Source organism: Homo sapiens, chromosome 15, assembly GCF_000001405.40.
Source record: "Homo sapiens chromosome 15, GRCh38.p14 Primary Assembly".
NCBI lineage: Eukaryota > Metazoa > Chordata > Mammalia > Primates > Hominidae > Homo > Homo sapiens.
In genome coordinates, this window is record NC_000015.10 from 32,486,662 (window position 1) to 32,505,489 (window position 18,828).

The 18,828-nt window shown below is 42.9% G+C and overlaps 1 protein-coding gene and 1 pseudogene across 1 annotated transcript; both read right to left on the bottom strand.

Annotated features, from left to right (window-relative positions):
- Positions 1-2,538: 2,538 nt before the first annotated feature.
- Positions 2,539-8,284, bottom strand: LOC100653133 (golgin subfamily A member 6-like protein 1; the record flags this gene model as incomplete). Its single annotated transcript, XM_035861124.1, has 6 exons — positions 2,539-2,803; positions 3,187-4,068; positions 4,394-4,535; positions 4,866-4,924; positions 7,357-7,423; positions 8,268-8,284. Coding segments are annotated over 6 exons (1,362 nt in total), but the record flags the coding sequence as incomplete, so codon positions are not given.
- Positions 8,285-12,512: 4,228 nt separating this feature from the next.
- On the bottom strand, positions 12,513-18,427 carry MPHOSPH10P2 (MPHOSPH10 pseudogene 2; annotated as a pseudogene).
- Between the last annotated feature and the right edge of the window lie 401 nt (positions 18,428-18,828).

Below are 18,828 nucleotides of genomic sequence, written 5' to 3' on the forward strand. Positions count from 1 at the left end.
CTGAGCGAGGCGGGTGAGGGTCTGGAGAGTGGGCATGGCTGCTGCAGGCATGGAAAGGAGGCGCAGATGGCGGCACTCCCAGGGCCCATCGTCAGGGTCTCCATATGTGGACGTGTGCAGAGGTGGGGGTGCTGAGCGAGGAGGTGCATGGAGTTTCTCATCTTCTCTCTACTGCCTCTGAGTTGGAGATGTCAGAGGGAGCCATGGCCCACTGTAAAGTAACACAATGTCCCCACCCACAGGGTTAGAACCTCTCCTCTGGAAGCAGCTCTGAGGGGAACAGTCACATGTAGAGAGTGCAGGGCGCTGTGTCCAGCCGGGGGAAGGAGGTCACCAAGCAGGTTGACCCTCCCCTGGCCAGGTGGCTGCCTTCTGACACACCAGCCTCTCTCTCTAGCATGGTGGCCCCCACACACCCAGCCTGTGAAACCTACAGCCCTCAAGAAGGTTTTGGCCGAATTAATGAGTAGCTCCCTCTCCCAGGAGGAAGCACAGCTGAAGGATGCGGAGGGCAGTAGAGTTGTGTGTGCTCCGCCCCCTTTCTCCACAGTCGGACGGGAAAGAAGGGGGCTTTCAACCAGGCTCACCCAGGCTGGGGTCTGAGTGTCACTGTCCAGCTATTGGCTTCTTGCTTAACGGGTGAGCCCAGCAGCTCCCGTGCAGCTGCCGCCCTAGTTAGGGTGAACCGGCAGGCGAGTTGCATTTCTGAAAGCCCGGGAAGACAGTAAATATTAGGCTGTGGGCTGCTGGGCCAGGAAGGGGTGTTTATTTTTCAGGGTTTGTTTATCTATTGACTTGATGAGGGAGGGTTATACGTACAACCAGTTAAAAGATGGAAATTTTGAGAGAGTAGGCAGGGATTTAGTGCTGGGTAAGGCAAGAAGGCTTGTCAAAGCAGCTCTTCTGGGGAGGCCAGAATCCTGTACCAATGTCCTCAGCACGTTCTTCAGCTGCTGGGGGAGTGCCAGACAGGATGAAAGCGTAGGAGAACTTTCTGGATGATAGAAATACTCTATATCTTCAAAGGAGGTGGGTTACATGGGTAATGCATTTGTTGAAACTGATCAAAATGGAAACCAGATCTGTGCATTTCACTGAATATAAATTATACCTCAAATTAAATACATTTCTTAAAAGACAGATGGGCCGGATGCAATGGCTCACGTCTGTAATCCCAGCACTTTGGGAGGCTGAGGCAGGTAGCTCACCTGAGTCAGGAGCTCGAGACCAGCCTGGAAAATGTGGTGAAATCCTGTCTCTATTTAAAAAATAAAAATTAGCCAGGCATGGTGGCACACGCCTGTAATCCCAGCTACTCGGGAAGCTGAGGCAGGAGAATTGCTTGAACCCAGGAGGCAGAGGTTACAGTGAGCAGAGATCATGCCACTGCACTAGAGCCTGGGCAACAGACCAAGACTCCATCTCAAAAAAAAAAAAAAAAAAAGAGAGAGAGACAGATGAAGGTTTTCAACTTTCACTAAAGGCAGAGGAGCTTGTTACAGATTCGCCTCCCCATAGGAACAGTTAGAAAAACTGGACAAAAATGTGCCCCACCACCAAAAACAATTGTTGGAAGGTAATTGGAGACCTCAGCCAGCACTTGAGTGACCAGGCCTGGGAGGTGATCCTGACAGTCTGTAGTGCTTTTCCCACATTTGGTGATCGGTCAACAGTAGAGGGCTAAGAGGCTAAGAAACTGAATATGAAGTGGTAGTTAAGGGGCTGGAGAGCCTAGCTGAATGTTGGCACTCTCACAGGGCTGAAATGACCTAATGAGAATTTGGGTCCCAGGAAGGAGATGGGACATTGGTGGGGACCCTGGAAGGGCCACCCCTAGGAGTCCAAATGAATAAAATATAGACCAGCCGTCACAAAACCTAAAACCTGCTTTGAACTAGCTTAGTCACAAACTAGATGAAGGCGATCTGCCCTTACTCCAATTGTGTGCCATAAAGTCAAAGTCAATACTCTCTGGAGGCAGATAAAACTTTACTAGGAATGCCATAAGACAACATCAGACTAAATGAGAAAGACCAAGAAAAAAACTAATAGAAACATACATGTAAGGAAGAAACTTTTTTTTTTTTTTTGAGACAGAGTCTCACTCTGTCACCCAGGCTTGAGTGCAGTGGCACGATCTCAGCTCACTGCAACCTCTGCCTCCCAGGTTCAAGCGATTCTCCTGCCTCAGCCTCCCAAGTAGTTGGGATTACAGGCATGTGCCACCATGCCCGGCTAATTTTTGTATTGGCCAGGCTGGCCTTGAACTCCTGACCTCAGGTCATCCATTCACCTCAGCCTCCCAAATTGCTGGGATTACAGGCATGAGCCACCGTGCCTGGCCAGTATTTTGCCAAAATTTAAAATAAATAAATTTTCTTTTTTTTTTTTTCAGGTTTGTGCTCAGACTCTATTCTAAACAGTCACATGGCAGCTTACTCTTCTCCAGGCCTTGCTGCCGGCTTTTACATGTTTATTATATTTGTGTTCTTGTCATCTGCTTGGTAGATGGCAGCTTCCAGGTGCTCCTAAGGGGCCAGGAAAGAGAGTGAGAAGGCACCGAGTTTGCCAGGTCGTCCCCCTCAGGGCCCCACCCTCATCAACTCCCTCAGCTGGGTCTCCTGCAACTATTGGTGGGCCATCTCAGCCACCGCTTCGCCCTGAGCTTCCTGCTGCTGCAGCTGGGCAGTGCCTCCTTCCCAGAGGCCAGCTGCTGATAGGCGGCCACGTACTGCTGCAGGTGACCCCGGTAGTGGTCTTGCTGCTGCTGCAGACTCTGAGCCTCTTGGCTCTTCAGCTCCACCTGCAGGATAGGCGTCAGGGTAGGTAGTCGCTGGCTTCCAGATTCTGGGCCCATAAACAGGGTGGCAAGGGCACTGCGGGGCTCTGTCGCCTGCTCAGGCCCCTGGCCCTGGCCCCTTCCTCCAGGCCTAAGTGACTGCCTCCCTTGCCTAGAGGCCCATGCCTCCCTCCCCAGCCTCAAATCTCACACCCTTCTTCCCACCACTTAAACTGTAGGCCGCAGACTGGTGGAAAAGCAGAGGGAGCCAACCACCATCTGCTAAGTTGTGGTGAGGTCGTTCTGTATGATCTCCAGGGTTTGCACACACCTCTGCCTGCTCCCCCCAAGAGCTCCGCCTTCTGCCCCAGCTTCCCCAGCCTCTCCTCCAGCTCCTGCAGCCTCACCTCCTGTTCCTGCATCTTCTCCTCCTGCTGCCACAGCCTCACTTCCTGCTCCCGCATCTTCTCCTCCTGCCTCTGCATCTTCTCCTCCTGTTCCTGCATCTTCTCCTCCTGTTCCCACATCTTCTCCTCCTGCCTCCACATCTTCTCCTCCTGCTCCCATATCTTCTCTTCCTGCTTGAGCAGCTTCTCCTGCCTCCACGTCTTCTCCTCCTGCTCCTGGATCTTCTCCTCCTGCCTCTGTATCTTCTCCTCCTGCTCCTGCATCTTTTCCTCCTCCTCCTGCATTTTCTCCTCCACCTCCCGCAGCTTCTCCTCCTGATCTTGCATCATCTCCTCCAGCTCCCGTATCTTCTCCTCCTGCCTCCACATCTCCTCCTCCTGCTCCCGTATCTTCTCATCCTGCTCGCGCATCTTCTTCTCCTGCCTCCACATCTTCTCCTGCCTCTTCTCCTCCTGCTCCCGTATCTTCTCCTCCTGCCTCCACATCTCCTCCTCCTGCTCCTGTATCTTCTCATCCTGCTCCCGTATCTTCTCCTCCTGCCTCCACATCTTCTCCTCCTGCTCCCGTATCTTCTCTTCCTGCTCCCGTATCTTCTCCTCCTGCCTCCACATCTTGTCCTCCTGCTCCCGTATCTTCTCTTCCTGCTCATGCATCTTCTCCTCCTGCCTCCACATCTTCTCCTCCTGCTCCCTTATCTTCAGCTCCTGCTCACACATCTTCTCTTCCTGCTCCTGTATCTTCTCCTCCTGCCTCCACATCTTCTCCTCTTGTTGCTGGTTCAGGAGGTTCCACAACTCGTTCTCTTCCACCTGGGCTTGGAGCTTTGCTGACACACTCTGTAGCTCCTTACCCAGGCGGTCAGCCTCCACCTGCAGCTGCTGCTGGAATAGTGAAAGTGTTGGTTCAAACCTCAGAAGGAAACAGACTCATGAGCTAGCCATATAAATGTAATCTATAAAATAATGGTTTTCATCTATGATCCTTTGAAAAATATTTTTTTAAGCCCAAACTCTGAGATTCTGATTCCCCAGGCAGGGCCCCAATTTGTATATTTTTAGCACACTCCAGAGGATTCTATGGTGGGACCAGAACAAGGACCCAAATTTTCCAGCTCTTGGCTGGAGCCTCCCCACACCCTACATGATCCCTAGACCATGGCCCCAGCCGGATGGGGCTCCCACAACCCCCGGGGCTGCAGCTGCTCGCCTGTGGCAGCAGGAGCTGGGCCCTTTCCAGCTTCCTTTTAAGGTCCTTTACGTTGAGCTGGATCTCAGACTTTTCAGATTCTACAAGTCGAAGTTTTTCTTGTAGTTCGGCATTTTTCTCCTTCAACTCCTCATCGGTTATGCTGTGGCCAGAGGCAGTAGAGAAAGGAATGAACAAAGAATAGAAAGGACCGCTTTGGTGATCAACCCTCTACTTTCACCACACAACCACAGAACGGTGGCATTGGAAAGGACCCCAGGAATTAAAAGTCACAGGTGGCAGGCCAGAGAGAAGACATGAGTTGCCTGAGGCTTCCCCATGAGTCAGTGGCACCGCCGGCACTAGAGCTTCCCTGTGCACACATGAAAACCTGTAGAAGCCTCTCACCATGCTCACCTGTACCCCCCACCTCCCAGCACACCACCCACTCTAAGGGCCCCCAGACCTCCCATTCCACCTTCCCCCATCCTACGTGTTCCTGTACAGTTCCAGACTCGGAGCGTCCCTCTCCTTTGTTAATTTCTCGATGTACTGCAAATAGAGAAAGGTTAAGTCAGGATAGAGCAGGCAGAGGAGTAGCTGGACGACCAGAACAACAGCTACACTGATACTCCACAGTAACACTCCCTCACTCTCAATCACACCTGACATGTTCTCAAGGCATTTCCAAGCCCATGGTCTCATTTGTTTTTTCTTTGTTTTCTCTTTCTTTCTTTCTTCTTTCTTTCTTTCTTTCTTTCTTTCTTTCTTTCTTTCTTTCTTTCTGTCCTTCCTTCCTTCCTTCCTTCCTTCTTCCTTTCTTTCTTCCCTTTATTTCCTTTCTCCCTTGCTTCCCGTGCTTCCCTTGCTTTCTTGCTTTCATGCTTTCTTGCTTTCTTGCTTTCTTGCTTTTCTTGCTTTCTTGCTTTTTCTTTCTTGCAGAGTTTGGCTCTTGTTGCCCTGGCTGGAGTGCAATGGTGCAATCTCGGCTCACCACAACCTCCACCTCCTGGATTCAAGCAATTCTCCTGCCTCAGAGTCCTGAGTAGCTGGGATTATAGGCATGTGCCACCACACCCAGCTAATTTTGTCTTTTTAGTAGAGACGGGGTTTCTCCATGTTGATCAGTCTAGTCTTGAACTGACTGATCCTGACTTATCCTTAGCCTAAAAAGAAAAATTTAAAATTACTCATTAAAAAAATGAATGATTTCCAGCAGAAAATGGGCAATGGAGAAACCGGCACTTCCCACAAGAATAAAAATGGCCAATGAGCAAACGAAAAAGATTCAAAAGCACTAGAAATCAAAGAAATGTAATGAAAACAATGAGATTTTCTGCTTAAAGACCAGCAAAGATGACAAATGGAAGGGGGAACCTGGAGCTCTGTCCCTGTTGGTGGGAGCATAAACTGAACCAATTTTCCTACAGGATAATTTGAACATTTCTTTTAAAAATCCTAAAACAGTTTTACATTATTTTCCTCTAGAAATTCTACTTCTATGAATTCAGTGCAAAAATCCTTACTGGAGTCCATTAAAATGTATATAGAGGAAATTCACCTCTGGGGTGGCAATGATTCACTTAACATAATCCAGCTATTAAAAATGATGATGCCAGGATATACTTCTGCCCTAGAAACATGTTTAAAATATAATAAGTGACAAAAGCCCATTTACTATGATTGTACTTTTATTTTTTTTAACAGTCACAAATCAGCTTTATTTAACTTTTCCAAAATATTTCTCAGGCCATTCTCTTTCAGACATTCAAAAAGAAAAAGTTTCTAACTTTAAAATAATTAAATGACAAATGGTAAAAGCTGCTAGTTATCTCCCAGTGGCTGTTCCCATGGTGGTAGGGCCTTAGATGTGTGGCCATTTGCAATGGACCCAGCATTTCTAGCTTGCAGCCAGGCACAGCCAATAGCAGGAGAGAGCGAGGTGTGTTCCTCCCCTCTCTTGTCTTCCAATCCTTTCCCTGTTCTGCTCATCTGGAATGTGATACTGGTAGAGGCCAGTTATTCGTGGCAAGCAACACGTTTACAGGGATTTTCCTGGGAATTTCAGATACAATGTCTGTATTAGTTAAGATTAGGTTTTGCGGCAATAACAGAAAACCCTCCAAAATGATAAATTAAAGAACATGGAAGTTTATTTTTGTCTCATAGGGATGTCTCAGAAGTGGTTCATGGCTGGCATGATGCTCCATGTTGTCAGGAACTCAGACTCCATTCATCTTGATGTTCTTTCCCGAAGGCTTCAACCTCACAGTCTCAACATGGCAGATTCTACTTTTAAATATGTTTATATGCATAAAAAGTGTAAAAAGCAACAAACCAGAATGTTTTGAGTGGCAAAATTAAAGATTTTTCTTTATATTTTGTCATCCAAATTATTACAAAAAGAATGTGATTTCCTTTATAATCAGGGAGAAGTGTTATTTTCATTTATTTATGTTTACATTTCTTTTCTTTTTCTTCTTTTTTCTCCTGTATGTATCCCATGTAGGCTAGAGAGCTTCAATCCCTGCCTCTTGAGGGAAATCAGCCCATTTTCGGGAAGTGCACTACACAAAGCTGCCCCATCTTCCCTTTATTTTTTATTTTTATTTATTTATTTATTTATTTATTTATTTATTTATTTATTTATTTATTTTGAGATAGAGTCTCAGAGTGCAGTGGCGCATCTCAGCTCACTGCAACCTCCATCTCCCGAGTTCAAGCAATTCCCCTGCCTCAGCCTCCCAAGTAGCTGGGACTACAGGCATGCACTACCATGCCCAGCTAATTTTTGTATTTTTAGTAGAGAGCGGGGTTTACCATCTTGGACAGCCTGGTCTCAAACTCTTGACCTCAAGAGATCTGTCCGCCTTGGCCTCCCAAAGTGCTGGGATTACAGGCATGAGCCACTGTGCCTGGCCTGTCATATTATTTCTAAAAATTTCAGTGACATTTCAATTAAGTTAAATTTAATTCTTACTGACCTGATCTCTTTTCCTGTGTTTAATGATATCTTCCAGTTGAAAGGTATTTCCTCTGTAATCACAGGCACTAAAGGAAATACAACAAGTATTCTTTAGGTGGATATCCACTAAACCACGGATTCTCCCATTGTAGTCCTTAGACCCTCAGCATCAGCAACACGTGGGAACTTGTTAGACATGCAAATTCCTGGGCCAGCCCCACACCTCCTGAATCAGAAAGTGGGGAAGAGGGACAGCTGTCTGTCCTTTAATAAGCCTTGAGATGCTCCCTGAAGTTTGAAAACTACAGAACTAGAATACATATGGCAGTAAGTGCTCATACTTTATCCCAGGTACCTTCCCCTCTTTTCCATTCTCTTTTCCGTTGAAATAAAATGAGAGCTCTTTTTGACTTAATGGGTATAAGAAAGAAGGCAATGAGATGAGCAGGGTTTCAAGTTAGAGTTCAAAATTTAATCAGTGGATGGTGACAGGGTGCAAGCCTTCTAAACAGATTACTGCAAGAAAGCTGATTATAATCTATACAGTAGGTATCATTAGTGTATTGATGTTAAATTTTTGGGGTGGGATTAATGGTATTGTGATTATATAGGAGAACGTCCTGGTTCCTAGAAGATATCTGCGAAAGTACTTAACACTGAAATGCTGATACTGGCAACTTACTTTGAAATGATTCAGGGGGGAAAAGGGCACATATACAATCTTCCATATGCAGGGGAGACAAAACAAATATGATAAAATGTTAATTGGTGAATCCAGTTGAATAGCATACTGATGTTCACTGTATTATTTTATCAACTTTTCTGTGTTTGCAAGTTTTTAAAATAAAAAGTTGAGGGAAAAGAAACATCACCCCAAATCTTCCTACAAAATGGAACCATAGAAAAACTTTGCAGAAGAGGGCACCGTACCCATCCGGACAGCATGGTCAAAGTGCAGGGTCTCCTCCAGCAGGCTATTCTCTGGTCTCTTCTGTGCTGTCACTTCCCCCAGACGCAACCAAGGCTTTTTTATAACAACTCTTTTTCTAAAGGTGTAATTTTTTTCATTCATCTAAGAAAGAGACAAAAGAATTAGTATACATTGAGAAAATAAAATTACACTTATACTTGTGTAAAAGCAAAAAATACTTTGAAAAGTGGGGAAGCAAGAAATGTACTGTTCTACAATTCTGTCCTTACCATCTTTTTATTCTGCCAATGACTTCCTATTCCTGCTGCCTATGGTGGGGTGAGCTGCAAATGATTTCTTTTCCTCATTGATTTGAAATGCCATGTTTATAATATACTAAACTCCCCCAGAAGCATTTGGGTTTATTTCTGGGCTCTATTCTATTCAAGTGATCTATCTGTTCACAAGCCACTATCAATTTTGATTATTAGAGCACCCTAAAGTTAAGTTAAATAATTCTTTTTTTTCTTTTCGAGACAAAGTCTCTCGCTCTGTTGCCCAGGCTGGAGTGCAGTGGCGTGATTTCGGCTCACTGAAAGCTCCACCTCCTGGGTTCACACCATTCTCCTGCCTCAGCCTCCCGAGTAGCTGGGACTACAGGCACCCGCCACCTCGCCCGGCTAATTTTTTCTATTTTCAGAAGAGACGGGGTTTCACTGTGTTAGCCAGGATGGTCTCGATCTCCTGACCTCGTCATGTGTCCACCTCGGCCTCCCAAAGTGCTGGGATTACAGGCATGAGCCGCCGCACCTGGCCAAGTAATTCTTTGATTAGGATATTAGTATTTGATGGAGCCTGACCCTTTTGACTCTAAACTCAAATTCTTATTATCTCTAACTTCTAAAAGTTATGAACAATTATGACTTCAATGTATAAAATGTCAGCTTTTTCAGCTACCTTACAGAATTCTCTTATTTTCCTAATATCGATTCCATTTATCCATTCGGTTTTCTCTCCAAACACTAATGTTTTCGTTTTAGTATCCCTAATCTTTTTTTTTTTTTTTTTTTCTTTTGAGACAGAGTCTTGCTCTGGAGTACAGTTGCATGATCTCAGCTCATTGCAACCTCCGACTCCCAGGCTCAAGCAGTCCTTTTACCTCAGTCTCCCAAGTAGCTGGGACCACAGGTGCATGTAACCACACCCAGCTAATTTTGTATTTTTTGCAGAGATGAGGTCTCACTACGTTGCCCAGGCTGGTCTCAAACTCCTGAGCTCAAGTGCTGAGAGCTCCTGAGCTCCCAAAGTGCTGGGATTGCAGGTGAGAACCACTGCTCCTGGCAGTTTTCCTAATCCCTTCTCTTTATCTTTTGTAGTTGCACTGGCTTATGTGGTTATTAACTGTTAGTGTTAATTAACAGGGATAACTGCAATACTGGACATTTTGTCTTATTCCTGATCTTAAAGGGATGTTTCTACAGTTTCACTCATCATGCATGATGGCAGCTTTTGGCTAGATGTATTTATAATCCACTAGGAGTAAAAAAAATTAGAAATAAATATTGAATTTTATCAAATGTCTTTCTAACATATATGGAGGGAACCATGTATTTTCTTCTTAATGTCTTGCAACCAGGAATCATACCAGATCTTCTAGTAGTGATTCAAGGGAATGAGCTTCATGTGATTGTGCGGCATAATTTTCCCACTGTGCTATGTTTGCATCACTAGCCATGAATGAGAGAGTGTGTGTGTTTTAATGTTACCTTTGTCAGGTACCTTTGTCAGGTTTGGGTTTTCATGTTCGAACAGTTTCAAAAGAAAAAAGTTTGAAAGTTCTACTTTATTCTTTATATGTGGAAATTTCAATAAATTATTTGTGATTTATTGAAAATTTTACTTGAAGGTCTGATATAATTTCAAAGCAAAACCAAACCTTTTTTTCTTTCTTGTTGGGGGAGGGTGGGAGGAGCGGGACAGGAGGACATTAACTCGTTGATATTTTATGTTTTGTTTTTTCCCTTTAGAATTTATCTTCTGGGGACAATCTGACAATGATGAATTTAATTTAGATTCACAGATTTTAAAAATAATTCTTTTGATATTCTTGGTATCATTTATTTACCTATTCTGCAGCTCTGTTGCCCAGGCTGGAGTGCCATAGTCCAATCATAGCTCACTGCAGCCTTGAACTCCTGGACTCAAGCGATCATACCCGATCAGCCTCTTGAGTAGCAGAGACTATAGGCTCACGCTACCACACCCAGCTAATTTTTTATATTTTTAGTGGAGATGGGGTTTCAACATGTTGCCCAGGCTGGTCTCGAACTCCTGGGCTCAAGCAATCCTCCCTTCTGAGCCTCCCAAAGTGCTGGGATTACAAGTGTGAGCTACTGTACCTGGCACTATTCTCATTTTTATAATAAAATTTTAAGATTGGATAAATAATATAGCCCAATTATTGGAGCCAGACTACATCTACAAAAATTAAATGAAATTTCACTTGTCTGAAATCATGACATACTTTGGAAGATATCTTTGTCATGGTATTAATTAAAATTACGGCTATTTGGCACTCACCAAAATCTGTGGAGCACCTTAAAGACATAGGCGGCATCCTCCGGAGCAGTCAAAACAGTTACAAGAAGAGGCTGTCGGGACAGCTTTGTCAGAAGAGACATGCTATGCATATAAAGACATAAGGGAGACAGAAAAGAAACAACCATTTTACACACAGGCCCCAAATTGAAAGCTATAGGCTGGGTAATGCAGGCACTGATTTTTGCAAATCAGATGTTTTCCATATGGCATCTCCATATAGTGTGCTTTTGCTTTAGAGAGTGGCAGCAAGATTTTTGGTTTTGTTTGTTTGTTTGAAGACAGGATCTTGCTCCACCGCCCAAGCTGGAGAGCAGTGATGTGATCATAGCTCACTGCAACATCAACCTCCTGGGCTCAAGTGATCCTCCTGCCTCAGCCACCTGAGTAGCTGGACTACAGGCATACACCACTATGCCCCCACTAATTTTTGTATTTTTTGAAGAGACAAGATCTCACTATGTCACCCAGGCTGATCTTGAACTCCTGAGCTCAAGCGATCCTCCTGCATCAGACAACCAAAGTTTTAGGATTACAGGCATAAGCCACTGCACCTGGCCAAGATATTTGTTTGCAAAGGATGGTTAATAGTTACAACAAGAAAAATAGGAAGGCTGGGGCACAGTGGCTCATGCCTGTAACCTCAGCACTTTGGGAGGCTGAGGCAGGAGGATCACCTGAGGTCAGGAGTTCGAGACCAGCCTGCCCAACACGGTGAAACCCCATGTCTTCTAAAAATACAAAAATTAGCCAGGCATGGTGTCATGCACCTCTAATCTCAGCTACTCAGGAGGCTGAGGCAGAATCACTTGAACCCGGGAGGTGGAGGCTGCAGTGAGCTGAGATCATGCCATTGCACTCCAGCCTGGGTGACAGAGCAAGACTCTATCTCAAGAAAAAAAAAAGAAAAATAGGGAAGATTTGTTAGTAGTCTGTGAGTTCCACAATCATGTCAAGCATATTAAAAATTCCTTAAATTCCTAATTACCTTTTCCTGTCTTTTTTTAAAAGAGGATTTAACTTCATCAGAATTTTTCTTTACATGTGAAACACCTGCATCTTCAATTGCCTCATCATCTGGCAAAGTGAAGGTCACTCTTTTCAAGCTTTCTTTACATTGTTTACTGTCTTCACTTTCTTCCAGGTCATCATCTTCATCCCTACACTACAAAATTCTTATAAAAAGAAATATACTGCTTTCCATTAGAAAAACAAAAGGAAACATATTTCCCTTAATAAAGTTCTTCTTTTATATGCCTAATGCAACCAAATACTCAGAAGTTCCAAAATCATTCAGGTATTAAGGAACAGAAGGTATCATTTAAGTGAAATGCTATGTAAGAAACAGAACAAAAAGTGTCCAATATATAGAAAATAAATTGTTCAATCTCACAGAAATAACAGGATTTTTGGGGCACAAAACCAAATCAAAGTTCCTGGTCAGAAAGGTTTGATTGCCATTGCCAGTAATATTTTTCTTCATTAAATGATCTCTAATGTCCCTTTAAATACACAGACTTTCCTGTGGCTATCTTGAGAATATCTGATAGGAGAGAATCTAACTTCTTAAAACAAACATATGTGAAAACCACAAGTACCAATACATGATTGGACAGTTCCAGCTCACAATATAAAGGATGGTTCAAATACTTACATTTCAGAAATGCTTAGTTCTTCTGCTGCTTCTTCAGCAATTTCATCAGCTTGTTTGAACCCAGATCATCATCATCATCACTTGCTATGTCTTCATCACTTTCAACTGGATCAAAAAAAGTCTTTGTCCTTCACATTTCTGGAACTTTTACCTGACTAAAATAAAAAGATTTTTAAAACTATTAATTAGGAAGAGAAAAATACATCGTTAGCACACACATATATATTTGTGTGTATACTGTATGTCTACGTTACTTTCTAACTTAATAACACTACAAGCCAAAAATAGTTATTAGGTGAAATCAGCAACTAAAAACATTACCATAAAACTATTATAAGAACAACTGGAACAGAAACTGAATGGAAGTACAGATTCATTTATAACTGATAAGATAGAGCACAATATTTCTTAGATCCAAATCTTCTAACTACAATTACATCTGTCCTAGAAAAACAGAACAAAAGGTAATTTGAGGAGGAGGAAAGTGCTCTCTCCTCTCTCAAAATTTTACCTTAAGTTTTTTTACTTCTAAACAGTGCCCCTTCATCTTCATCAGAATCAATATCTTAAAAAAATCAGTATCTTCTACGTCATCATCATTACCATCTTTTCGTTCCTCTTCTTTTTCTGTTTTCTAAATAGGCCTCCATTTCAGAGAGTTGGAAGAATTTCTCGTCTGCTATGGACTTTTCTCTTGGTTTCCCGTGTCCTTTGTTTCGCACCTTGCTCTGCTGTTCCAATTTGTTGATATGAAAGTCAAGGTCAGAATCCTCATCACTGAGAACTGGGCTTTTCGTCGGATCGAATTTGCTTGAGTTTGCTCTCTCACTCACTTCAGGATTGTCACCACCCATATCTGACACTTCCTCCTCCTCCTCTAAATCTTCTAGGTCCTCCTGGCCATCAGCCTCTGTCTCTGAACCATCCTCTTCATGCTCCTGTTCTTCACTCTCTGGGATACTGATATCTTCATCTTTGTTTCACTAACTGCATTCTGGAAGCTTTGTAAAATTGGGTCATTTTGCAATTCCAGTTGTTGCAAAGTCTGCTTATCATCAAAACTTTCTATCACAAGTTTTTGTAAAGGGCTTCCATGGATCCTACCATTCTCTAATATTTTATTAAGGTCATAAAGCACTTTTGTTAAAGAAGTGAACTTTGATGCCAATCCATCTTGAATCCTAATGGGAGGAATTAAATGAGATTTAGAGTTATAGTTGATAATTTCACAGCCCTCTTAATTAAAAGAAAAATAAAAACCACAACTCTTCTGTAAAATCAAATTTGAATGAAGTGTAAGTATAGATTCTGGCCCCAACAACATACAAGCTGATGAGCCACACTGATATATAAAACCTGTCAACCAAGTATTTGTGAATCAGCTGTACAGATTTTAGGCAGGAAAAGCATTACAAATCTATTTGCTTGGAGATATATAGTGAATTAGCCTTAAATTATCAACTCTGCTACATTATATACCACTCCATTCTTTCACTCATGTTAGTCAGGATGGTCTGGATCTCCTGACCTCATGATCCACCCACCTCGGCCTCCCAAAAAAGTGCTGGGATTACAGGCGTGAGCCACCGTGCCCGGCTGAATTTTTCTTTTTTATAAAATAGGCTTTATTTATTTATTTGTTTATTTATTTATTTTGAGATAGAGTCTCGCTCTGTCACCCAGGCTGGAGTGCAGTGGCGTGATCTGAGCTCACTGCAACCTCTGCCTCCCCGGTTCAAATGATTTTCCTGCCTCAGCCTCCCAAGTAGCTGGGACTACAGGTGAGTGCCACCACGCCTGGCTAATTTTTTGTATTTTTAGTAGAGATGGGGTTTCACCATGTTAACCAGGATGGTCTCGATCTCCCAACCTCACGATCTGCTCACCTCGGCCTCCCAAAGTGCTGAGATTACAGGCATAAGCCATCGCAGCTGGCTGGCTTTATTTTTTTTTTTAAAGCAGTTTTAGGTTCACAGCAAAATTGAGCAGAAAGTACACGCAGTTCCCATATACACCCTACCCACACACAGTCCCCATATACACCCTACCCACACAAAGTCCCCCTATACACCCTACTCACACACAGTCCCGTCCACTGTCAACCCCCCACACCAGAGTGGTACATTTGTTATAAACTATAAACATACACTGACACATTATTATCACTCAAAATCCATAGTTCACATTACTTTGTGGAGTTTCTATCATGAACAGGTCTTGAATTCTGTTTAATGCTTCTTCTGCTTCTACTGATACAATTGTGTTGTTTTTCTTAGTCTATTAATATTAATATGATAAAGTACAATGATGTATTTTAAAATATTGAATCCTTATATTCAGAAACGGACTCCATTTTGTTGTGATGTATTATCCTTTTTCTACATTACTGGATTTGACTTGCTAATGTTTGGTGGAAGCTTTTGTGTCTAGGTTCATAAGAGATACTGATCTATAGTTTCTTTTCAATGTTGTAATGTCTTTATCTGGTTTTGGGATTAGAGTAATGATGATATCATAAAATGAGTTGGGAGGTTTTTCCTCTGCTTCTCTTTTCTGGAAAAAAAATATGGAGAATAATTTTTTCACTGGTATAATTCACCAGTGTAATCATCTGAGCTTGAGCCTGTTGCTTTTTTGGAAGGTTTTTATTATTAATTTAATTTTTAGAAAATATGTATAGGGCGGCCGGGCGCGGTGGCTCATGCCTGTAATCCCAGCACTTTGGGAGGCCGAGGTGGGTGGATCACAAGGTCAGGAGATCAAGACAATCCTGGTTAACACGGTGAAACCCCGTCTCTACTAAAAATATAAAAAATTAGCCGGGCGCGGTGGCAGGCGCCTGTAGTCCCAGCTACTTGGGAGGCTGAGGCAGGAGAATGGCGTGAACCCCAGGAGGTGACGCTTGCAGTGAGCCGAGGTAGCGCCACTGCACTCTGGCCTGGGCGAAAGAGCAAGACTCCATCTCAGAAAAAAAAAAAAAAAGAAAATATGTATAGGGCTAGTCTGTTTTTCCTTGCATGAATTTATTAGTTTGTGTCTTTTAAGGAATTGGTCCACTTTATTTAAGGTATCAAATTTACAAGGATAAAGTTGCTTGTAGAATCTTAGAATCTTTTAAAAGTGCACGGTATCAATAATCAGTAGTAATGATTCTTCTTTCATTGCTGATATTGGTAATTTGTATTCTCTCTTTCTCTCATCTTGTACGCTCATGCCTGGGAAGAGGTTTATCAATTTTATTTACGTTTGTGAAAGCCTAGCTTTTGGTTTTGTTGAATTTTTCTATTGTTTTCCTGTTTAAAATTTTATTGATGTATATTCTAATTTGCATGGATTTCTTTTCTGTGTTCTCTTCAGGTTTAAATTGCTGTTCTTTCTCAAGCTCCTAAGGTGCAAGCGTAATTTATTTATATTATTAATTCTTACTTTGTAATATATGCATACAGAAACTGAGTGCTATAAATTATTTTCTAAGCACTGCTTTAGCTACAACCCATAAGTTTTGATGAGTTATATTTTCCTTTTCATTTATTCTGAAACACTTTTTGAGATTTCTTCTTTGGCTCATGGGCTTTTAGAAGCTACCATCTTAGTGCTGATATTATCCATTTGTTCTTGCACATTGTCTACTTTTTTCATGAGAGCCCTTAACATATTTATCACAGTTATTTTTACATTCCGTCTCTGGTACTCCAACATCTGTGTCGTATCTGAGTTTGATTCTGATGATTGCTTTCTCTTCAGACTGTTTTTTCCTGCCTTTGACGTGTCTTGTGTAATTTTTTTGTTAAAAGACAGATATTGCATTAGGTAATAACAACTGAGGTACATAGGCCTTTATGTGAGAATGTATGTTAATTTGGTTAAGAGTTAAGCTATGTTTAATGTTTGTTGCAGCCATAAGTATCAGAAGTTCCAAATTCCTTTAGTGTCTTTGTTTTGGCTCTTCGCCTGGCTTCACAGCTTGTCTCTGCACTGCTCCTCATAGTGAGTCTGTGTCTTTCAGTTCATTCCACTGAAAACAGCTGTAGTCACTGCTTTTAAACTCAAGCTTTATAACAGTGATGATAGGATATAGAAGACAGTAAGCATTCTCCAACCTTCTAATGAAGTGTGGGTCATTTCCTAAGCCAGTAGCTCATGGCTGTGGCTATCCCAGCTGTGTCTGCCTTTCCTCCAGTAGCATGTTCACCTTCTAGCTCCTTTCCCTGGCTGCCGAGCTCCCAGTATATCTCCATGAAGCACTCTATCCGTTGATGATTATTTCTGCCACTACGTGATGAAAGAAGGCTAAAGAGAGCTGAAGTGAGGGGGGATTCCTTTCCCCAAGCTTGGATACAGTATCAGAATGGAGCTCTGGTAAAGTCCTTCCCCTGGAGAAGGCTCTGGTTACATTTCACAATGGTCACTCTTTCCTTCTTCTGCAAAGGCATGAAGGGATCTTTTGGGGATTCTTACCATAAAAATATGGCGAGGTTACTGGAGGGAGCCTCCTAAGAAACTCTTCCTCCAGCAGTTTGTTAAAATTGTCATTTCATTGTTTGGACCAATAGCTCTAGAGGCTCCTGCTGTCTGAAGCACATCTCTAGGCTTTATCAGTTGCAGTGTCTGTTTGTACCTCTCTTTTTAGATTTTGGGGTGGTTATCTGTCCTGTGCAGTGCAATTGTCATGCTATCTACACAGAATTAGGTCAAACCTCACAGGTCAAGGGCACAGGGCCTTAAAAGGGCCTCCCTCATTTCAGACATCAGCTACAAGCAGGGGAGGGGGCTTCCAGGACACACACACTTCTGACCAACTGGCTACAAAGCTGGAGATTCCCACTACCCACTCAAATTGGATACACAACTTTGCTAGAATAACACATTACTCAGGAAAAAGCTGTAGTTATAATTACAGTTATATAATAAAGGATGTAAATCAGGACCAGCCAAAGAAAGAAACCGTTAGGGTAAGGTTTAGGAGGACCTGAGACACATGACTTCCGCTTCCTCAGGACAAGTCACCCTCCTGGCGCATCGATGTGTATCACTACCCAGGAAAGCACACCTGAGCTTCCGTGGCCAAAGTTTTTATCAGGGTTTCATTATGGACACATGACGGATTGAATCTTTGGCCACATTATTGAGCTCAGCCTCTAGCCTCTCTCTCCTCCCAGAAGGCTGGGCTGATAGCACATGCTTCGAAGCCCAACCCTTGAATCACACAGTTGTTCTTTCTGGTGTGATGGGCCCCATCCTGTGTCATCTCCACAGCATAAGCTCAGATATTGTCAGGCCCGCCATCAGTAACAAAATATAATTGTATCATAGGAAACTTCAAGGGTTTAGAGGGCTCCTCTCAGGACCCAGAGAAAAAGATCAGCCAAATTAATTACTATGCAACAAGCCACCCCTTGTTCTTTGACTGCGATTCTTGTTATATGACTAATATCTGGGGGAGCCAGAAAACTTTTAACTGAATTTCACAATACATTTGGCTCTCGATGTCAATATTATAATCTTACCAACAGTGCCAGTATTACATCACAGCATGGCAGATGTCACCTGACTGTACTTTGTCTGCCCTGAAACATTGGAGCTCTATCTATATTTCTCTTTGAAAGCTCCTAATTGACCTGAGAGAAATGGTACCATTTCCCTGTGGTAAAGCAAGTCCTTCACTAGTGACCTCATCTGGCATTGTTTCCTATAAGAGAGCTGTCCTGGAGCTCAGATCATTTTGGACATAAAAGCTATGTAGCCTAGAATATGACTTAAAGGGTCCAATGGCTATGCCCCCAAACACATTGTATCCTTATATATGGACTTTGCCTCGGGAGTCACTGCACCCACAAAACTGTAACAAGGAGCCCTTTGCTTCAGTTTGAGTCTTTACCTCTCCTCTCTTTTCCTGGCCCTTAGTTTTAAGTCATGAGCATAGACCATGCAGACCTTTATGGAAGCTCTCTTAAGTCATAGGCTGGAAGGGGCCCAGTCTCTCTCTTTACCGCTCTGTTCGTCTTATGTACAGTGAACATCTTGTCTCTCACAATTGACTTCAAGCCACACAGGTCCTCTCTACAGAAATATCTTCTTATTGCTTGTTTTCAGAGCATCTTTCCAAAGTTCTTCTTATTCTATGTAATTCAAATTATTGTGATTTCTCACATGGACTCTTACAAATGCCTCCTTACTATTCTCCCAACTTCTTTCTACTTCATTATGTAGTACGCAGGCTTCCCAAGAAAAGAAGGATTATATATTATTAAAGAGGCTTGGCCGGGGGCGGTAGCTCACACCTGTAATCCCAGCACTTTGGGAGGCCGAGGCGGGTGGATCACTTGAGG